The sequence below is a fragment of the Homo sapiens genome, chromosome 8, assembly GCF_000001405.40.
Source record: "Homo sapiens chromosome 8, GRCh38.p14 Primary Assembly".
Lineage (NCBI taxonomy): Eukaryota > Metazoa > Chordata > Mammalia > Primates > Hominidae > Homo > Homo sapiens.
Genome location: NC_000008.11, coordinates 100008896 through 100032873, shown reverse-complemented (window position 1 = coordinate 100032873; position 23978 = coordinate 100008896). Strand labels below are relative to the sequence as shown.

Below are 23978 nucleotides of genomic sequence, written 5' to 3'. Positions count from 1 at the left end.
GTTTTGAGTGAGTTTCTTAATCCTGAGTTCTAATTTGATTGCACTGTGGTCTGAGAGATAGTTTGTTGTGATTTCTGGTCTTTTACATTTGCTGAGGAGTGTTTTACTTCCAATTATGTGGTCAATTTTAGAATAAGTGCTATGTGGTGCTGAGAAGAATGTATATTCTGTTGATTTGGGGTGGAGAGTTCTGTAGATGTCTATTAGGTCCACTTAGTGCAGAGCTGAGTTCAAGCCCTGAATATCTTTGTTAACCTTCTGTCTCATTGATCTGTCTAATATTGACAGTGGGGTGTTAAAGTCTCCCATTATTATTGTGTGGGAGTCTAAGTCTCTTTGTAGGTCTCTAAGGACTTGCTTTATGAATCTGGGTGCTCCTGTATTGGGTGCATATATATTTAGGATAGTTAGCTCTTCTTGTTGAATTGATCCCTTTACCATTATGTAATGGCCTTCTTTGTCTCTTTTGATCTTTGTTGGTTTAAAGTCTGTTTTATCAGAGACTAGGATTGCAACCCCTCCTTTTTTTTGTTTTCCATTTGCTTGGTAGATCTTCCTCCATCCCTTTATTTTGAGCCTGATATGTGTCTCTGCACGTGAGATGGGTCTCCTGAATACAGCACACTGATGGGTCTTGACTCTATCCAATTTGCCAGTCTGTGTCTTTTAATTGGGGCATTTAGCCCATTTACATTTAAGGTTAATATTGTTATATGTGAATTTGATCCTGTGATTATGATGTTTGCTGGTTATTTTGCCCATTAATTGATACAGTTTCTTCCTAGCATCGATGGTCTTTGCAATTTGGTATGTTTTTGCAGTGGCTGGTACTGGTTGTTCCTTTCCATGTTTAGTGCTTCCTTCAGGAGTTCTTGTAAGGCAGGCCTGGTGGTGACAAAATCTCTCAGCATTTGCTTGTCTGTAAAGGATTTTATTTCTCCTTCACTTATGAAGCTTAGTTTGGCTGGATATGAAATTCTGGGTTGAAAATTCTTTTCCTTAAGAACGTTGAATATTGGCCCCCACTGTCTTCTGGCTTATAGCGTTTCTGCCGAGAGTTCTACAGTTTTTTTGACATTACATACTTGCTTCAGTGAGAGAGCACTACTAGAGAATGAAACAGACCTGAGGACTACTGTCTTTTGTAACTTGTGAAATCTTTCAGATAAGTTATATCCTAACAAAAATTGTGCATTTAGAATCTATCACTCTCCATAGCATACATAATGATATTTAAATAAAAATAAGTAAACGTATGAAACAAAAATATTAAACATGTTTAAGTACACACACACACACGCACCAAATTTTAAAAGTAAGAAATGGGAAGGAGGAAAAAACTTAGAGTCTAGGAGAATTATATGGAAAATGTAGTAATTAATGAATGAAGAGGGTAGGTAAGAATGAAATGGAAATGAGAAATAAGAGAATTCCTAGGTAAATCCACAGCACTTTTACCACAAAGTGCTATTTAATATAAAGAAATTCTTGCAGCAGTGTGAGATTTTTGTCTTATTGGATTGGACGTCAGGGTAACACACTGTTATTTTAATATATCACCTAGATCAGAGGCTATATGACGTAGAAGGCAAAAAAAAATCACAGAATGTGGCATTGAAGACATGAATTATTTACATTCTCCTAGTTACTAGCTGGGTAAACTTTGTTAAGTCAGTTAGTTTTAATAGGTCTTGGTTTCATGTTCTGTAAAATATGGATAGTGATAATGTTTTACATTTTGTTTTCCTCTACTGGTTTGGAAGTTACATATTATATTTCTCTTTTTACCCTTACAGTTTTGACATGTATACGGAAATCTGTGAAGTCTAAAATTAATCATTATCTTCATCCTTCTCTCAAATAAATCAAGGATCTTAGAACACTTTAATTCTACCATACCTTGCCCATTTTACATATAATTTTTGTACACTATTTTTGTTAATTTCGGCTTTTACCCTCCTAGTAGTCATCATTACTTTTTTAATACTGTCAATGTTTATGTCAGTTTATTCACAAATTTCTTGCTTGCTATTGCTTTTTGTGTCATATTCCTTACTTTCAGTTTAATTCCTGAAGACTATCCTTTAGTAGTTTTTCCATTAGAGCCTGCTAGTGGTAGTAGACCCTATTTGTTTGAAAATGTCTATTTTATTCTCTTATTGTTGATTTAGCTGAATATAGAATTCTAGGTTGACAGTTTCTTCTCACTACTTTGAAAATACTGTTTTATTGTTTTCTGCCTTCCATTGCTATTATTGAGGAGTATGCCATTGCTCCTTTGTAGGAGGATGTTTTTTCTCATGTTTACTTTTGCAGTCTTTTCTTTGACTTTGGCATTCTGTATTTCACCTCAGTGTGTTTACCACTGGAAGGTTTTCAGGGGCAGTAACATGCATGGAGCTGTCATCTCCTGTGATAACAATGCCTTCTTCTGGGATTCCTCCTGAAGCACCTGCCTGAGCCTGTTTTACAGTTAACTTTTTTAATAAGTAGAAGGAGTACATTCTAAAAAAATGATAAAAAATATAGTGTAGCAAATACATAAACCAGTAATATGATCATTTATTATCACTATCAAGTATTTTGTACTATACATAATTGTGTGTGCTATACCTTTATACAACTGGCAGTGCAATAGGTTTGTTTACACCAGCATCACCACAGACATGTGAGTAATACATGTGCTACAGTGTTACTAGGCAATAGGAATTTTCCAGCTCCATTATATTATGAGACCACCATTGTATATGTGGTCCACCATTGATTGAAACAATTTTATGCAGCACATGACTGTATATTTCATGTCACTCTTAACCCCTCTTTCAGGTTTTTCCACCTTTGAATATCTGTGTTGTATGTTTTAGATTGAAATAGATCAATTTTCTTTGTACTGTTTTTCAGTTCATATATTCTTCAGATTTCATTCTGCTATTTAACTTACCCATTGAGTTAAATCATTTTAAGATTATGTTTTTGTATTATTAAACATTATATTTGTGTTTTACAAAATTTCCTGGGGATTTTTGGTCTTTTTCCTCATTTTAAAATTTCTTTTAAAAACATTTTTATTTTACTTTAAGTCCTGGGATACATGTGCAGAGCATGCAGGTTTTTTACATAGGTATACACATGCCATGGTTTCTTTTTTTCTTTTTTTTTTTTTTTTTTTTTGAGACGGAGTTTCGCCTTGTTGCCCAGGCTGGAGTCCAATGGCATGATCTTGGCTCACTGCAATCTCTGCCTCCCCAGTTCAAATGATTCTCCTGCTTCAGCCTCCCAAGTAGCTGGGATTACAGGTGTGCACCACCACGCCTGGCTAATGTTTTGTATTTTTAGTAGAGACGGGGTTTCACCATGCTGGTCAGGCTGGTCTTGAACTCCTGACCTCAGATGATCTGTGTGCCTCAGCCTCCCAAAGTGCTGGGATTACAGGCATGAGCCACCATGCTTGGCCTGCTACAGTTTCTTTTTTGATGTCTCTAATCATTTTAAACGTGTTATAGTTTGTAGCTGCATTAGTTATCTCTTCTGTCATAACAGTATTATCACAAAATTTGTGACTTAAAGCAACACACATCATTATCTCATAGTTTATGTAGGTCAGGATTCTGGGCACAGCTTTATTGGGTTCTCTGTAAGGTCTCAGCCAGGGCTAGTGTCTCATCTGGGGCTCGACTGGGGAAGGATCAGCTTCAGTGTTCACATGGTTGTTAGCAATATTCATTTTCTAGCATCAGAATTGGATTGGACATCAGGGTAACACATTGTTAGACTGATGGCCTCAGATTTTTGTTGGCAGTCAGCTAAAGGCCACCCTCAGTTCTGTGTCATATGGCTGTCTCCATATGGCAGCCCACAGTGTGGCAGTTTGCTTCTCTAAGCCAGAAAAGGGGAGAATTTCTTAGCAAGACAGGCATTGCTATCTTATGTAATGTAACCACATACATGTAATCACGTACAAATCATCACCGTTGCTATATTCTCTTGATTAGAAGCAGCCACATGTTATGCCCATACTTGGTGGGAGAGGATTATGAAAGGGTATGAATACTAGGAGATACTGTTTTCGTGGGGGCCTGGCTGCTATAGTATTCAATAATTCTGTAATTTGTAGTTCTTGGAAGAACTAATTCTGCTATGTATTAGTTCTGCTGACATGGTGGATTCTTTTCTGGCATGTTTTGTAATTTTGAATTATGAGCTTTTTAGTGGGGTTTTTTATCTATGCTGTTTCTGGTAGGCACATTTTGTAATCATTTCCAAGATGAGAAATTAGACAAGTATAAACTTGAACATGAAGCCCACATAATGGTAAACTCACGATACCAAATTCTCAGGAGATATGTTGTTTTCTTTCTTTTACAAAGAGGCTAGGCCAATAGAAGCAAGGCTTTTTTTTTCCTTTTTTTTTTTTTTTTGTCTCCTAGGTTTGGTAGGTATAAAGAAGCTTGCTTTTCTGGTGCTTACTATGGGTATTAAATAAGGGAACATGTGACTGCTTCTTGCAGAGATTTCCTTTTCTGGTATCTTGGCAGCCTAGATTACCTGAAAACTCTTCATCTAAAAAATACCTAGAAATGCTGGATAAAATATAACAAATGTACTTTTAAGTGCATGGCCGAGATGGTAAGGGACATCACCAGGGACCATGGTTAAGAAATGTACTGAGAACCAGAGTGATAAGCATGAGCTGACAATGGGACTGTCATGGATAAACCAAGAAGTGTGGGTTATAAGACCCACAAGGCACAGACAAGGCCCTGGGCTCTTAGAGGCGAAAAGTGACACTAAGACCCCCCACATCTACCAAGGTCTATGAAGGGTTATACACAAGGTGAAATGCAGAGTGAAAAAAGACTATATATATGTTTATAAAAATTTATTTTTAATATGTATTTTACAAGATCATATACAGGTGGAAGCATTTTGTCATATAGTACAGAGCACTCAATGGAATAAACAGTATTATTAGGGTCAATATTTAAGGTTCTATCAATTACCTGGATAATGAGGAAGGAAAATGGGAATTTGAAGAAACTAGGGTGGAGGAACAGTTCTACAATATAACTTAAATTAAAATATACTACATTAGGCCAGGCGTGATGGCTCATGCCTATAATCCCAGCACTTTGGGAGGCTGAGGTAGGTGGATCAACTGAGCTCAGGAGTTCGAGACCAGCCTGGCTAACATGGCGAAACCCCATCTCTACTAAAAATACAAAAATTAGCCGGATGTGGTGGTACATGCCTGTATTCCCAGTTACTCAGAAGGCTGAGACAGGAGAATCACTTGAACCCAGGAGATGGAGGTTGCAGTGAGCTGAGATCATGCCAATGCACTCCAGCCTGGGCAACAGAGTGAGACTCCATCTCAAAATAAATAAATAAATAAAATGAAATAAAATATACTACATTGAATCACAACCTTTTAAGAATCTCCTTTATAATATTCAGTTACTTATTAATGAACATTCACTGAGAAGCCTGCTATGTGCCAAGTAATGTTCTGTGGATAGAAAGATGATTAGGACAAAGTTCTTGACTTAGAAGTCTCACTCTCTAGTGGGGGAAGGAGATAATTACAAAGCACTTCAGTCGTATTTAAAACAGATAATAATGTCTCTCTCTTTTTTTTTTGAGACAAGGTCATCTTGCTCTGTCACCCAAGCTGGAGAGCAGTGGCTCACGATCACGGCTCACTGCATCCTCAACCTCCTGGGCTCAAAGTGATCCTACCACCTCGGTGCCCCCTATGATTCCCCTAGTAGCTGAAACTACAGACACACCACCAGCCCCAGCTAATGTTTTGTAGAGACAGGGTCTCACATGTTGCCCAGGCTTGTCTTGAACTCTTGTACTCAAGCAATCCTCCCACCTCAGCCTCCCAAAGTGTTGGGATTACAGGCATGAGCCACCATGCCCGACCAGGTAATAGTGTCTTAACTGATAATGAAATAATTTCTCGCTTTACTGGCAGAAAACAGTTGGTTATTGTTTTGTTTTACTTTTAAGTCATCGGCTTCTTTTCAAATACCTGTAGGAATGAGGGAACTGTTTCCTTTTTTCTCATTTTTGAGCCAAAAGCTGCTGTCCTTTAGTCTTATGCTTCTTAGGACACTGTCCTGTTTTATTCAGATTAACAACTTCAGAATCAATTTTACATCTTTCTAGTATCTTCAGCTATAGCCAAATGAAATTTTAACATTTGCAAGTCCTGTTCCTGACATCTCCACCCAATGATATGACAGCTTGAAAATACTCTGCTGTAATGCTCCAGTGAGAGACTCCTGTTGTTTCTCCTTCTATTTCTATGAAGAAGTCACTTCATGGGTCCCATGACAAATAAGTCAGTCCTGGTGACTTCTACTATTTACCCAGGGTTTATAGTACTGTTGCCTGTTTACTCTTGTATTTGCAAAATTTCACAAGAGAAAAAGAAAACGCAAAAGCTGAGTCAGTAAATGTCACCAGATCCATGTTGTGCACTGGTGTTTTTAGGAAGCCCATAAGTTGTGATGTAATTGTAATGCAGAATTCATTAAATTATTCAGTAATTATTTATTGCTATCGTTATCCTCTCTGGCCCTAGGTCATTTCAGTCTCCTATTAGGTGATCTGAGACACAGTGTAGATCCAAATGATGTTCATACTGGGTTGTGCATTGTAGCCCTGCCTTAAGGTTCTCTGAGTATGTCTATGTATTTGTCCCCTTTGCTCCTGCTTTTATAGTGTACAAACCAGTAAATCAATATAAACTGAATAGCAGTTAGACTAGCAATTAGGAGCACACATTTTTCCTAGCCTAAACATGTTATTGCTATTTCCACAAACATTTACCAAACACCTACTATACCTTAGGCTGTGATTGGTGCTGGGAACACCTTGGTGAACAAAGCACAGGTGCAGCTCCCCAAGCATTCTTTCTATCAAGGGTCAAGAATGTGCTTTCTTTTGCCTACTTTTCCAGAGAACCCTAGAAAGATTGAGAGAGAAAAAACCAGTTAAGACTATGTAGCTCCTCCCCCGTAAAATTTGGATTGTTCTTACAGTGTTTTCCAATGAAGTCTGAGGTAACACCCAGGACCTTGGGTGTAATCACAAATTCCATTGAAAAAACTTTATGGCATAAGTGGGGCAGTGTTGAAGATTTTTCTCTGATAATCAGCTTTATTTTTCCTTTGCTCACTGTCATCCATTACCTTAATTGTTTAGCTCCTCTCTTTACTTGGCATTTACAGGACCTAAATACTTCAGGGTGGTCCTGACATTTTCATTAAAGTGTCACGAGCTAAGTTCTCCTTCTCTAGGCTGATGGTGTATTTTCAGGTGCACTAACAGAGCTCATTATTTCTCTATTCAGCAGCAGCATTAAGAATCAAGCTCTGTTTTCTAAAAGATGAATGGACATGGGTGAGGGGTGAGGTTGGCTGGTGATTGAATGTGGAAAATCAGGTACCTCTTTATAGCTTTATGGTAAATTTTGGTGTCTTCACAATTAGGTTGTTTCTGGAGTGCTGGGCAATTACTATTCAGGCTTTGTTACATTATTTGTTTTTGTTACCAGAGAGATGGTGTCCCAATTAGCGGCCAGGCTTGGATTCCTGAACACTGTGAATCACTGAGCACAGAATCAGCAGGGTTCTCGTGTTGCATCGCATTTTGTCATGTTTGCTAGTAAAGTGGGTTCAGGAAGAACAAGCACAGCAGCCAGCTTTCTGGCTTGTAGCTACCCACTCATTTCCCCACTTCCTGATGTTTACCCCAGTTATGCATAGAGTCTTAAGATTTTTGAATACTGTAGGATTATAGACCAAAAAAGGATCTCCAAAGATCCTCATTTATTTATTTATTTATTTATTTATTTATTTATAGATCCTCTTTTAATCCTCTTGTTTCCAGAAAGGCCAACACCTGAACTTCTCTGAAACACCATTATCTATTATACCTGACGTTTCGTTAATGTTTCTGTTAGGTTCTGTGGTAATAACTTTATATGGATAATTTTATTTAATTCTAGACAATCCTAAGAGGTAGATTGGTATCCTTATTTTACAGATTTGGAAACTGAGACTTAGGGAAGTTGAATGCTTTCCTAACGCCATCCATTTAGCAATTGGTGAACTTGGAATTAGTACCAAGTATTCTGACTCCAGACCCTATACTCTTAACTTCTAAGCCATTGCTTTCTTATTATTATCTCTAGAAAAAAGAGTATCTGTTTATCACCTTGTTTAATCTTTCACTTTAATATCTTAAACTATCTTTATGAACATTAAATGTCAAACATCACCTTTAATATTTTTTTTCTCCGTGAGACTGTAGGTCCATGAAGACAGTCTGCTCTGTTTACCTTGTATGCTCAGGACTGAAGGTGCCATATAAAAGGTGCTGTGATAGGTATTGAAAAAATTCATGAACTCATTGGCATGTTTATATTTGTAGCAACGTATTATAAACCTAATGAAAGATAGTCATTATTTGGAAATGACAGCCAGCTGAGTGTTTTTATTTTTTTAAGAAAAATTTTATGTGAAAACAGTTTAATGAGCCCCCATATACCTTCACTAAGCTTCAGCAATGATCAACATTCTGTCTTTCCAGTTTGCTCTTGGCTGGGCTTGGTGGCTCACACCTGTAATCCCAGCACTTTGGAAGGCCAAGGTGGGTGGATCACGAGGTCAGGAGTTCGAGACCAGCCTGGCCAACATAGTGAAACCCATCTCTACTAAAAATACAAAAATTAGCCGGGCGTGGTGGCGCTCGCCTATAATCCCAGCTACTCAGCGGGCTGAGGCAGGAGAATTGCTTGAACCCGGGTGGTGGAGGTTGCAGTGAGCCAAGATTGCGCCACTGCACTCCAGCCTGGGCGACAAAGCAAGACTCTTTCTTGGAAAAAAACAAAAAACAACAAAAAAAGGGAGCTCTTAATAAATTGTATTGGAGCAGCAATGAAATCTCCCTGTCCCCTCCCACTTCACCCAAGGAACCTAAAAATATGGTTGCTTTTTGAAATTTGAACTAGGAAATGAATGTGTAATAAATCAGAACAGATATGAGCAGCTGACTAGAGACAAAAAGGCTTCACAGGCCTGCAAGATTTGTAATGAAGATGCCAGCACATGTAAAGAAAGAATTTTCCAGGCCAGGCACAGTGGCTCGCACCTATAATCCCAGCATTTGGGAGGCTGAGCTGGGAAGATCACTTGACCCCAGGAGTTCAAGATCAGCATGAACAACGTGGTGAGGCCCTATTTCTACAAAAAATTAAAAAAATTAGCCAGGTGTGGTGGCCCGTGCTTGTAGTCCCAGCTACTTGGGAGGCTGAAACAGGAAGATCACTTGAGCCCAGGAATTGGAGGCTGCAGTGAGCTATGAGTGCACCAGTGTATTCCAGCTGCAGTCTGGCATTGGCAACAGAGTGAGACCCTAGCTCTTAGAAAAACAGAAAAAGAAAGAATGTTTCACTCATGAAGAGACATTGTTTGGCAGTGGCATCCCAGAAGGTGTAGTGTCTCAGAGGCAGACCTTGACATGCCCTTGAAGTACTGTCCTAAGCTGTCTGCTCCTTGTATCTAGTCAGCCTGAAAGATTTTGATGGAGAGAATATTCATAGGGTTCATACAGTTACCTTCACTTATTCTGACTATGTAAACTTGTTTTCCAAGATGGTGTGCTGGTAAACATAGACCTACAACCTTAATGATGGTTGATTTTCTCATTTTTCATTGTACAGCAATCACTTGATACTCTGGTTTCATGTATCAGTCCTGTGTGCTTTGTTAGCATAGATTATCATACTGGTGAAACAGGTTTGTTTTTTTTCCCAAGCCAGAAATTTTAATATAATCATGTTTTTAAAATTGAATTATTTATCTCAGCATTTTGGGAGGCCAAGGCACGTAGATCACTTGAGCCTAGGAGTTCGAGACCAGCCTGGGCAGCATAACAAAACCCTATCTCTACAAAAAAAATACAAAAATTAGCCTGGTTTGGTGGTGTGCACCTGTAGTCCCAGCTACTCGGGAGGCTAGGCTTGAGCCTAGGAGGTTGCAGTCAGCTGAGACTGCGCCACTGCACTCCAACCTGGGTAACATAGTGAGACCCTATTTAAAAATAAATAAATAAATTAATTAATTAATTTAATTGAATTTTTTTGTTCACTGATTTCCAAGAAATTATTTATTAATAGAAGTTAAATAATTCCATTAGTTTAAATGTATATCTTGCTTTTGTCAGTTAAAGGTTTTTTAAAAAACAAATCCAAAAATTTATAAAATAAAACCTTTATTTGTTCCTTAGATTGCCTTAAACTGCATAGTAATAACTTTTTTTTCTGTGTGCTTGTTTATTTTATTTCATCATGCACTCAACTGATTTTACTTAAAATGTCTTAAGCAATGACCCAAATCTATCTTAAAAACCTAGCCTTTTTTGTCCCTGGTTTGTTCTCGTCTTTTCTTAACACGTTCTATTTTCCCCTTCTGATTTTTTACTCTGTCCCAAATGATTCAAATTGTTTTACTGTTTTATCCTATTGGCATTTTCTTAGGCTCTCATTTGCTTTGAATTCTCTTTAGTAGGGTCTGAGCAATTGGCAAAAATTCTAGTTTGTCATCATTATCTTTTTTCGTACAAGTCCATCTTGTGTTGATCTCTGCAGTAGTTTGCCTCTTGGTATCAAGACGTTGCAATCCCTAGATCCCATCTTTAAGATTCCTGTTTGAAAAACCCAAGGTCCTTCACATGAAAATCCATCTGTGAAAAGCTCCATCTGTAATTTAGTCGCTCTCGGCATAGCTCCTCAGTAATGTTTTTGAGCTCCTAGTGGGATATGAGAGGTCATTAAAAATCATCATTTTTTCCTCCTTTTGCAGAAAAAAAGATTGGATTGCTTGAACTTGCTTGTTATTTTCTTTTTCTGCCGCATATGAACTCAGATAATAATGTTCTATGCCTGCTAGAGCTGTGAATGGTTATGAAAACAGACTTCTCTTTTTGCTGAAGTAAATATTTTGTGATTTCTGAAAGTATCCTGTATCACAGCATTTATATTTCTTTTATAAACACCTCTGGGGACTCTTTTTTTTTTTTTCACCCTTAGCTTCTTGGAGCACAGTTCATCTCATTGTTTTATATAAAGTCCAAGCATAGAGTTATTGAGCCCAGTTGAGCAGATCCCATGTTACTTTGCTATTTGCCATCACATACAGCAATATGGTTTCTTTGTTGTTGTTACAGTTTAGTGGACATCTGTTCTGTTGTGTTTAAGATGATCTGTGAAGTGATTTTGGTCTCTTTGGGGTCCAGACACTGAATCAAGATCCATTAGTACCATTTCTATTTCTCATAATGCTTTAATGTTTCCTCTTCAAATATGTTCCTTGTACTTTCTCATCAGGCCAAGCTAATAAGATTTTCCCCACTAAACTCTTACCTCTTCTGATTAATTTATCAGACTGAGGATAAATGTAATATTTGAAGCTTAGTTTTGACCTTTTCTAAATAAGGACTATTCAGAATGTAAACAAACAATTTTAAAGAAAAGCTGTTGACCCTCCTCTTCTGGTTCAGCTTTACTCTAACTATTAACAGGGCCTTTACTGTATATTTTTTTAAATGGATGTCTGTTAAACAGAGTATGTAAGTAAACTGTTATAAATTGGCATATTCTGGTGTGACTTGGTATATACTGGTATGTAGCTTTGCTGCCAGTAAATATTTGAAGTAGCTGGTGTCATTTGTTTTTTCCTACTTTATTTCTCTTTCTTTAGTGATCATGATAGGAAGAGAAGTATATTTGCCTTATAATCAGTGCTATGATGAGAAATGTTTAACAACCAGATCTCTAGGGGAAAAAGCAGCCCTGATTTGTAGCATTTGCTGATCTCTGGGTATACTCTCACCATGGATGATTTCAAGCTGCCAAAGTGACGTCACTGAATGCAGAGTTGGGAAGAGATGTGCAGTAGCACCCCATCATATAATATTTCCCCCATACAGATACACCTCAAGACCATGGGTAATATTAATCGCAAAACAGTAAAATCAACAAGAAGTAATGAGTTTTGAGTAGTCATTATTTTTGTTTTTAATATAACTTCTTTTTTTCCTGAGGCCTTTGGACTTGAATCATAATTTCTTTAATTGTAAGTTTATGTGATTTAATTTTTGGTAATGACAGAGTTTAACAACTGACTCACAAAATTCCTGAATGTTTATGAATCGGCTCTTGTGAGCTGGTACAAGCTGGCTCCAGTAAACCATTGCTTATAAGGGAGGAAGAGAAGTAATAACAAGAAAAGCATCACTGTGAATCCTCTCCATTTTTTCTCTAATGTTACAGCTGGAGATCCTGACTCTTCACCTTTAAAAAATTTCTTCCACCTTTTGGAGAGTGCTTATGAACCACTCACTTATGCTTACCAAAGAAGGCACATAATCTCTCCTCCAGAATCACCAGGTCCTGCACAGTTTACTGTGAACTTCATGAAGGAGCTTATGAAAAAGCTTTGTATATTTCAGTAGCCAAAGGCTTTTTCTTCTTTTGTCTTTAGAGTGTATGAAATAGTGCCATGGCTTTTGTGGAATATCTCTTTTTCCTAGCGGCTGGCTAGGTCTTTGCTAATACCACCCTGTCAGTCCATCAGGCAGAACCTTAGTGCTACCTGATGGTAAGGAGAAGAAAATTGCGGCCGGGCGTGGTGGCTCACACCTGTAATCCCAGCACTTTGGGAGGCCGAGGCGGGTGGATCACCTGAGTTCGGGAGTTAGAGACCAGCCTGACCAACATGGAGAAACTTCATTGCTACTAAAAATACAAAATTAGCTGGGCGTGGTGGCAGGTGCCTGTAATTCCAGCTACTCAGGAGGCTGAGGCAGGAGAATTGCTTGAACCTGGGAGACGGAGGTTGCGGTGAGCCGAGATTGCACCATTGCACTCCAGCCTGGGCAACAAGAGTGAAACTCCATCTAAAAAAAAAAAAAAGTACTTTTTTTGCAACAGCAGATGGTTTTATAGTTCTTATACTGTCTTGGTGAGCATCTTGGAAAATTGTGAGAAGAATGTGAAAGATACATATTAAAATGCCTTCTGCTGCCTTACTAATTACATGATTAGAATTCCCTCTTTTACTTTTTAGTCGAGTAATGGGTCTAAAAAAAAGGGACTTATTAGTGATACAAAATGCTGAAGCATGAATGTTTTCTCCTAATCTCTGGAATACGATATTGGAAGTCTACTTTTAAAATGTCATCAATTTTAGTTAATCTGGTGATACGCTCTACGAGATGTGCTGTCAACTAGTATTAAGATCTCACAGTACATAGGTTTTGAATACATTTTATTCTTTATGTACTGAGGGACTCATTTTAAGTCATACAGTTCCAAAGTTTTACATTTCACTTTCTTACTTCCAGTCCTGGCCTGGTGGTGACAGCAGAACATCAGGTAATCAGTGTTACCAGGCAATCATAGCAAGATACATACACATGATCATTAAAATAAATACATCAAAACGAAGTATGTGAAACTGTTCCATTAACATAACTAACAGCTGAAATGTAACATAACAAATCAACACATGTGTTACAACATTTGGTATTATTTCTGACTTTGCCTTTTAAGGCTGCAGAGAAATTGTTCTTGTTTTCATTGGAACGCAGATAAGTGTCAAGCTGTAGCTCATCAAATGGCCCCTACTTATGGAAAAGATGCCTTCCCAAAGCCTGTGCTCACCTTTGGCACAGTGAGAATACTTTGCTGGGTGCTTCTACAGTATGCTAATTGGAATCTAATCCCATAGCTGTCATCATTTAGCCTTTGATACAAAGAGAAATCCAAATAGTACAGACAGTTGTGGAAAACATTTCCATTTTTTTTTTTTTGCTTTTGACATTGTTAAAAACAATAAATTCAATAAACACACAATTTTCATTTCTCAGGTATGTTTATCTAGACCTTATCTTCAATAAGAAAACATTAATGTGGGAAAAGTAAGTCTGGCATGCATTATGATACATTTGAAAGGAGATGGGGATTCACTTCTATCCAAGAATATGCTTATAAACACACAATTTCAAAATGATTTTGGAAACTATTAAGTGGTGCGGAAATCTTGCATGAAAAATATCATAATGTTGGAAAAATATAAATTGCAATGGGAAATGTCGTATTTTAAATCGTTTGAGCTATCTCATGTGTATTAATAGTACAATGCAGGTATTATATAGAGGATATTGTCTCTAATTAATGAAGCAGCTGAGATTTCCTTGAAGATGCAAACAGGAATATTTGTTCACTTTTTCCCCCAACAATGTCAGCAAATTAATATGTATTAAGAATAAATTAAACATTGTTCTTCATTTTAACGCTATTTAGAAAGCAAAACATTAATCAAAATATAGATTTTCTTCCCCTACCCTCTTTTGTGTGTGTGTGTGTGTGTCTTCATTTATTCTAATTTTTTTCTCCATTCTTTTTTCTGCTCTCCAATTCAGCTCTTCCTTCTGTCTCATGGTATCCATCCTACATCTTTTTTCTTGCTAGTCTTGTTAACTCTCGAGTAATATTGACAGTTCAGTTAGGCTAGAAAATTAACTCCCAGAATTTCAGTACTGTAAAAGATTTTTTAGGGGCAGGCATTACTTTTTTTTTTTTTTTTTGATACAGATGCCAAGAAAGTGAGTCACAGGCACAGGTGTAGAGAGGTGCGGGGAAAGCAGCACATTGTGCATTTCCTGATTACATAACCTTTGAGTGTCTCCAGGAGAGATGAGGCTTAGAGCCATGTTGTGTGCAGTGCCAGGCAGTTTGATCACAGACAGGCAGTGCTTGTATCCCTTCTCAAAAACTTTCCTGCTGGGTTGTTAAAGCATCATAGGTTAATGTTTAAATTGGACTCATGTTGGCCACAGCTGTGTGTGAGTGAATCTCTGCTTGAATGTGAATCAGAGTAGCTGACTGGAATATGAAGGGAGCATTTTCTTCTCTAACATGAGCTACATTGTTATTTACTCTGTGGCTAGAAAGGAAGAACTGGGCGGCCAGTAAAAAAGCAAATGATTTGGATATTTAAACAATGTTTCTAACCCATAATCAGACTATATTATTTATATATCATATAGTATAATCTTTACGTTTCATCTTAAAGTCAATTTATATCAACTTAAAATGATTTTATCATCTTTATAAAGATTTTAAGTGTGTTGTTTAGCTTTTTAAACTTTTGTTTTAAATATACAATTACAATATCTTGTATTTGCTATATATATATATACTCAGTTGTTAGTTATCCACTTACAGATTGCCTTGGATTATTAGAAAGACATCTTCAGATTTTAGTTCCATAATTCAGTTTAAATGTACTATAATTTTATTGTATGGGCTAATAAAGGATTGACAAACTGAATTCAGTTTTCTCATCCTTACTCTCTTAACCACCTGTGTCCCTACCATCCTGGGGAGGTGAGGAACAGCAGAGACAACTTCAACAAAAGACAACAAATGTGTGTAATGTAGGCTTGGGATGCCATGGATTGGATGACCTCACAAGCCCCTTTTTAATGCTTCCAGTTCTGTGATTTTTCAATAAAGGACTGGGCATGGTGGCTCATGCTTGTAATCCCAGTACTTTGGGAGGCCAAGAAGCCAAGAGGGAAGGATCACTTGAGCCTAGGAGTTTGAGACCAGCCTGGGCAATATAATGAGACCTTGTCTCTACAAAATATTTTTTAAAAATTAGTGGAGCATGGTGATGAAAGTTGACAAGAGGATTGCTTGAGCCCAGGAGGCAGAGGTTTCAGTGAGCCAAGATCACACCACTGTCCTTCAGCGTGGGTGACAGAGCAAGCCCCTGTTTAAAAAAAAAAAAAAAAAAAAAAAAAAAAAAAAAAAAAAGACTGGTAAGGAATCAGGGATGTAGGGAGAGTGTATTATTATTATTAATATTTATTTATTTAAATTATACTTTAAGTTTTAGGTTACATGTGCACAACGTGCAGGTTAGTTACATATGTATACATGTGCCATGTTGGTGTGCTGAACCCAGTAACTTGTCATTTAGCATTAGGTATATTATTATTAATTTACTTATTTTTTTGAGACGGAGTCTTGCTCTGTCGCCCAGGCTGGAATGCAGTGGCCCAATCTTGGCTCACTGCAAGCTCCGCCTCCCGGGTTCACGCCATTCTCCTACCTCAGCCTCCTGAGCAGCTGGGACTACAGGCGCCTGCCACCATGCCCGGCTAATTTTTTGTATTTTTAGTAGAGACAGGGTTTCACCATGTTAGCCAGGATGGTCTCGATCTCCTGACCTCGTGATCTGCCTGCCTCAGCCTCCCAAAGTGCTGGGGTTACAGGTGTGAGTCACCACACCCAGCAGGAGAGTGTATTATTCTTAAGGATTATGCTGGTTGTCAGATGGGGGTTGATATTCTTGAACAAAGAGAAATTGTTTGGGTGACAATAATTCAATAAACGTGGTGAGGAAGCAAAAGAAAAAAAAGTGGAAGGGCAAATTAATACCTACATTTAGGTGCAATCGTTTAGTTCATTTCTTTTTTCCTCCCCTCTGCTCTCTAGTTTATTTATTTTTAACAGGGAAGTCTATGAAGCGTCAACCCAAGTTCTAAATTGTATATTCTTGGTTTGAGATGTTGGCATTCGAGTATAGCTATTCAATTAATATGACTGAGAATTAGACAAATGTCTGTTTCTTATCACCTAACATCTGCTTTTCTTTGCGTTATTTTCAGCTTTAAATATGTGTCAAGTGTTTCTAGGAGTCTTGTTTTAGAGAAACTTCAGAATTTATCTAACTGATGACAATTAAATATAGAGGAACCATATAATTTATCATCTAAACCCAGATACTTTTCAGAATGAAACTATTAATAATTATGCCAAGACAGTAGGCTTAGACCAGAGTAGGGACACATGACTGTCCCAATTATATAGCTCCTAGAGACTGCAGACTCTGTAGCTAAATAATATGCATGAATCCCCGTGGCTAGAGCAAAATATGAGTGTGAGGTCAGGAAGAAAGGTAGCAGACAGTAACCTGGGAAAGGTCTGGCCTTGCTTGGTCAGAAAACTGAGTTTTATGATGTTTCTTGAGATGGAAGTTATGCTACTTATTTCCTCCTGATATTTGTTTTTGTTAGTTTCTCCTTGTTTCATTGGAGAGATTAAATTCATAGGATTTGCATTAGAGAATAAAAAAGGGGAGTGCAGGGAAGAGTCAAAAATTATACTATGAATGGTATATTATTAATGAAAACTGGAGGCCAGGCATGGTGGCTCACACTTGTAATCCCAGAACTTTGGGAGGCCAAGGCAGGCAGATTACTTGAGATCAGGAGCTCAAGACCAGCCTGGCTGACATGGTGAAACCCTGTCTCTACGAAAAATACAAAAATTAGCCTGGCGTGGTGGTGAATGCCTGTGGTCCCAGCTACTCAGGAGGCTGACACACAAGAATCGCTTGAACCTGGCAGGCAGAGGTTGCAGTGAGTTGAGATCATGCCACTGCACTCCAGCCTGGGTGACAAAGCAAGACTCCATCTCAAGAAGAAAGAAAGAAAGAAAAGAAAAGAAAACTGGAAACACAGGAGGAAGGGAGAGGCTTTAGAAGTTAGGAAAGGATAATTTGCTATATTATTGAGTCATTGAGGGTCTGGAAGATATTCATGTAGCTATAACAAAGTAGGCTGCTAGAAGCAAAGGTTTTGAGTTCAGGGAAGAAATCAGGTCTAAAACTATTAGTATTAATATATGGAGTTCTTCCACATTGATTGTTAAATTTTTGGGGCTAGATGAAGTCTTCCATTCATCCACTCATTCTAAATTTCACATTATGCCAGATGCTAGGGATACAGTAATAAACAAAGTAGACCCAGTCTCTGTCTTTGTAGAATGTAGGGTCCAATGGGAAAAACATAAAAGTACAGGGTCCATGGGAACACACAGGATGGATTCTTAAGCCAGACTTCAGGAGCCAAGGAAGCTGAGTCTTTAGGATGAATAGAAGCTCAGTGAAAGGGGAAAAGAAGATGAGGGTAGAGAGCATAGAAGGGATAGAGTGCAGAGTACAAAAATCCTGTGAGGGAGTGCTTGGCTCATGTGAGAAACTGTAGGGGCATGAACTGAGAAGGTGTAGTTGAGCATAGAACTTTAGTGAGTGTCATCTTTTAAGGGAGGAATGGAGGAAAAGGAATCAGCAAAGAGCCTGAGAAGAAGCGGAAATTGGCATAGAATCAAGAGAAAGGGTTGGCGAAGTCAGAGGAAAGAGAGTCAAGGAGAGAGGAGATAATAAGCAGTATTAAAGCTGCATAAGGGATCAGGTTGAATGAAGATTAAGGAAAGAAGCTATTGAATTGGCGATTATGTGGTTTTTAGTGATCTTTGAGTTCATTGTCATTGGCATGGAAGCCAGACTTCCATAGATTGAGGAGTGACTATGGAGACTTGTAGAGAGAGGGAAGAGAGAAGTAGTGTAAGAAGTAGGTGGCAAAACAGAGTCAGGAAAAACGTTTTAGAATGAGAGAGGCACTAGATTTCAACAACTTTGTAGCATAAAGAAGGAAATGGAATCAGTGGAGAGGTAGATTAAAGAAACAAGGCACTAAGAAAATAATTGGTGTTACAGGCTCTGGAGGAACATGGTCGAGCACACCTGAATGGCTTAGGATTGGAAAGATGTCTTTGAGACATCAGAGAAACAAAAAGATTTAAAAGAGAGCTCTTGAGAGGAAAGTTGAGGGCATTTATACCAGTGGTTTTTCCCAGTTATGTGGAAGATAAAGTCTACTGAAAGTGAAGAAGTGTAAGAATACAGTTGGGAGCATTAAAGAGGATGGCAGTTTTAAAATGGGAAATGGCATTGATTAGAAATAAGCAAAAATGTAACAAACTTTTTGATTGCAGCTAAGTTTTTTTTGAAGTCTATAATGGAGTCAGTCATTATGTTTTTAGTAGGAACTTGAGGATACAGTGGGGAGGAATTAGGGATGTTGGTAAGAGTATAGTTGAAATAATGGACAGTTCTCAGTCCCAATTGTGTAAGAAAGTAAGATAAAGCAGCTGGTGCATGATTTATTTAGAGGACGAGAATAACCTTCAGATTGTGCTGAAGGTGAAGAAAAGCTTGGTGAGGAGATACAAATAGATGAAAAGTATGGTCAGAGAGAGGAAGTTGTTCTACTAATATGGTAAGTGGTAAAATAAAGAGAAACTTATTTTGAAGAAAACCATAAAGCAAAATTTAAGAAGGTAAAAAGCCCAAGGCAATTGGATACAATCATATACAGAAACTTAGCTTCAACAGGGCATCATGAAGTGTCCACCATAGTATAGATATAGTAGTAGACTATCTAAATCACACGTAGATAATCTCATGGAACTTAGAGTAGCACTAAATCTTAAAACAGAAAGAGTAAAGGCAAGACTGAGAGTAAAAGAGAAGGGAAATAGATGTAGGCATCCACCAAAGGCTGACAATCCTAACAGCTGTCATTGTTATCCTAGCCACCATTTCAACTTCTTTCCTACTTTACCCTCTTCTCTGTTCTCATTTAAAAAAAGAAATCAGGCCAGGCGCGATGGCTTACACCTGTAATCCAAGCACTTTGGGAGGCCGAGGCGGGCGGATCACGAGGTCAGGATTTTGAGACCATCCTGGCTAACATGGTGAAACCCCATCTCTACTAAAAATACAAAAAATTAGCTGGGCGTGGTGGTGGACACCTGTAGTCCCAGCTACTCGGGAGGCTGAAGCAGGAGAATGGCATGAACCCAAGAGGCGGAGCTTGCAGTGAGCCGAGATTACGCCACTGCACTCCAGCCTGGGTGATAAAGCGAGACTGACTCCGTCTCAAAAAAAAAAAAAAAAAAAAAAAAATCAAAGGCGTTATCCTGATTTCTATATGAGAACTTTTCTTTTACTAACCAGAATGCTCAACATATGAGAATTTGATATGTAGCACATCAGATCTTTTTAAACTATAGTTTTGAATTGCAAAAGAAAAAAGCATATTTCAAAAAAATATTTCTCCCCTAATTTAGCCTGACTACTGATTTTTAATGTAAGTAATTTAGGCTGTTAAATTTTCTTTTCCTTGAAGTGAATTTGGAATTATTGGAGCAAATCCTACATTTTTAAATGTTGTTAATTTGATAATTTTAATCTTTAGTTTCGTAATTTACCTAAGACATTATTTTAGTTTACTTTCAAAAACTCTCTCTCTCTCTCTGTTTCTTTCTTTTCTTTCTCTCTCTCTCACTGTCTCTCCCTCTTTGTCTCTCTCCTCACTCTTGTCACCCAGTCTGGAGTACGGTGGCACCATCATATTTCACTGTAATCTCGAACTCCTGGCCTCAAGTGATTCTCCCACCTTGGCCTCCCAAAATGTTGAAACTACAGGAATGAGCTACCACACCCTGCCAGCTTTAAATTCTTGACCTGTGAAATTTCCCTTTCAAATCACTGTTGCTCTTTAAGCCACTCATCTCTTATTTATATACTCAGCAAATATCTATTGAATGCCTATTATATTCTGAACTTTAGTATTCCCTTTTAACTACTCTACATGCCCTTCTCCCTTATCTTAATCACTGGTTCTTTGATACTCTACCCTGCAAATTACTGTATCACTACCCTGATTTTGACCTCGTTTGCTTTCCTGCGTGTCATGGACCTCACAGTAGAGCATTTCAATTGCACTTTAACCAGCACCTTTGATTCTTTGGTTGCTTTAATGTCTTTACATATATATATATAATATATATTATTAACACCATTTATTGCTGTCTCCTGTCTTTAAGCTAACTCTTCATTTGGCTTCTGTAGCATTACTCTGACTTGGTTTACCTCTTATCTCTCTGACTTCTATTTCTCAGGTTCTTTTACTATTTCTTCTGACTTTATTCGTTATTATCATTTTATTTTGCAATAAGTATTTATTGATATTTACCCACATATTTGTACTTTCCATTGTTTTTGAGTCCATCCTGCTTTTGTCTAGAGCCTCCATTTAATATTTCATTTAGTACAGGTCTGCTGGTGATGAAGTCTCTTTTTTTGTCTGCTGATTTATAACATCTTTATTTTGTTTTTATTTTGGAAGGGTGTTTTTGCTAGACATAGAATTATATGTTGGCAGTTATTTTCTTTTGGCACATTAAAAACTCGAGGCTGGAGTCAGTATCTAGTCCATTCCTGCTCTCAGGGTGTTTTGAGAGCTTAGGATGTTTACAGGGACTTCCCCACTGACAGGTCCTGAACTATAATCCTTGTCTCCTCATCATTGCGAGACTTCCAAAAACTCCATTTATAGGTAATTATAAGGATTTTGACTTTTATTATGTGTGAGATGGGAAGCTGCTAGAGAGTTTGAGCAGAGGACTGCTGCACAAAAGGATTTTTCTGTCTGCTGTGGTAAGAATAGACTGTAAGAAAGCCAAGAGGAGTCTGGGAAGACCAGTTAAGAGGCTACTGCAAAAAAGCAAGCAAGAGGTGAAGGTGGCATATAATTTCTTGTCTAGCTATTGAAATAACTTCCAAACTGCCTCAAATATTGATCTTACTCAAACTATCACATCCAATGACGTCACTCCTCAGTTAAAATCCTTCAAAGATTCCCCATTATATCTTTAAGTAAAAATTCAAATTCCTTAACAAAGGATAAAAGATCATATTCATGCTCTGGTCTCTGCCTCCCTTTAAAGTATCTTCTCTTATTCACCTCTTTCCTTTAGCCAGTGTTACCTACTTGAAGCCTAAAATCCCTCCATAGGTTTTAAAGCTCCCATAGGCCTCCATGCATTGACCTGTGTTTTGCTTCTGCTTGGGCCGTCTTTCATCAACCCTCCTCTATTGTGCGATTATTGACTCCAACTTATCTTTAGAGATTCAGCTTAACAGTTATCTTCTGGAGGCCAGGCATGGTGGCTCACACCTGTTAATTCCAGCTCTTTGGGATGTCAAGGTGGGCAGATTGCTTGAGCCCAGGAGTTCGAGATTAGCCTGAGCAACATAGCAAGACCCCATCTCTTTAAAAAAAAAAAAAAAAGAATTATCTTCTCTCTGAAGAGTTTCTAGAATTCTTTCCTTCCCTAGTCCAATACATAAATGAGTCTTTTCTAGGGATTTGGAAAATTTAATAAATGTTTATGGCATCTACTGTCTGCCAAGAACAGTTCTAGGAATTGGAGATACACCAGTGAATAAGCTACAGTCTTTGCCCTCAAGGATCTCAGTCTAGAAGAGAAGACACATAAATACATAACTGCATTATAGAGTGACAGGCATAGCAGCAGAAATTGTGATTGTTGGGGGAGAATGTGAGTGAAAGCTTCCTAGAGGAGGGGAAATCCATGTTGGTTTTTTATTTTTTTAGACGGAGTCTCACTCTGTTGCCAGGCTGCAGTGCAGTGGCACAATCTTGGCTCACTGCAACCTCCGCCTCCTGGGTTCAAGCGATTTTCATGCCTCAGCCTCCTGAGTAGCTGGGACTACAGGCGCCCACCACCGTGCCCAGCTAATTTGTGTATTTTTGGTAGAGATGGGGTTTCACCATGTTGGCCAGGATGGTCTCGATCTCTTGACCTCGTGATGTGCCCGCCTCGGCCTCCCAAAGTGCTGGGATTACAGGTGTGAGCCACTGTGCCTGGCCTTATGTTGGTTTTAAACTCTAAATTAGTTTATCAAGCAGACAAGGTATGTGGGGTAGTGTAGACATCCAAGATGGAAGGAACAATATGTGCAATGGTATGAAATGGCAAAATAGCAAGACTTAGGGAAATTATAGAAACTTTGTATTTGAATGTAAAATTTGAAAGATGATTAATGGGAGATGAGCTTAAAAGAATCATTAAAGATCTTATTTATAATACATACCTCTCTTATAGCACTTACCGTCCTGTATTATAACCATTGATATTCATCTCCATGTCACCACCAAATTGGCTTCTTCAGAATAGGCATTGACTCTTGTTCATTAATCTTTACATACATAGCACCTAGCCAGGTGTCTAAGATGCAGTAGATGGAGTACTCAGTAAATGCTTCTGTTGTTAACATGGACCCTTTAAGTCTTAAAAGATTATTTTAAATAAGACTATTACTTGCTGTTTGGTACAAATTTATATCTGTATCTGTCTATTCTGAGTTGATCTAGATATTATCAGTTTCAAATTCTAAGTATATGAAATAAAATTGAAATAAAGTATAAGTTAACTAGAGATTTTTAGTAAAACTTGATTTAAAATGTCAGGGCATGACATATCCAGTATGCAAACATTTTTTAAACAAAATGTTATTAAATTGCTTCTCAGATATACATAACTATTATTGAGAGACATGACAATTAGTAGAATGGAACAGATATTTGTGGCAGGTTTGCTGGAGGTTCTATGTATATCTTTCCATTCACTCTTTTTTTTTTTTTTTTTTTTGAGGTGGAGTCTCACTTTGTCACCCAGGCTGGAGTGCAGTGGCATGATCTTGATCTTGGGCCACCGCAATCTCTGCCGCCCGGGTTCAAGCAATTACTTCTGCCTCAACCTCCTAAGTAGCTGTGATTACAGGTGTGCACCATCACGCCTGGCTAATTTTTGTATTTTTAGTAGAGATGGGGGTTCACCATATTGGCCAGGCTCATCTTGAACTCCTGACCTCAAGCGATCCACCCGCCTTGGCCTCCCAAAGTGCTGGGATTGCAGGCATGAGCCACTGCACCTGGCCTCCATTCGCTCTTATGCTTTTCTTTATGTCTTCCACAGCATTGGATACCAGATGGAAAGACTTAATGGCAGAAAGGGGTAATTAGCAACAGTCTTAAGAACTCTGCAGCTCAATTTGGTAGGGCTGGTAGTCTGTTGGGTCTCCAGAAGACTAATAGCCAGCTTTTTAGTCCTAGTGTATTCTTGCCACTTGTTTCCAAAAAAAAGTATTTCAAGCCACTTTGGAAAGTAACACAAGTGT

The 23978-nt window shown here is 38.1% G+C and overlaps 1 protein-coding gene across 15 annotated transcripts in view; it reads left to right on the top strand.

Moving 5' to 3' along the window:
• Window positions 1-23978, top strand: part of RGS22 (regulator of G protein signaling 22) — a 145114-nt gene that overhangs the window by 73176 nt on the left and 47960 nt on the right. The window contains exon 15 of one of the 15 annotated variants that reach the window (XM_011516959.4): window positions 8323-8385. The exons of the other annotated variants lie outside the window; for them this stretch is intronic. Coding sequence (XP_011515261.1) covers window positions 8323-8382 — 60 coding nt within the window. The 3' untranslated portion in view covers window positions 8383-8385. The remainder of the gene's footprint in view (window positions 1-8322; window positions 8386-23978) is intronic. 15 annotated transcript variants of the gene reach the window in all.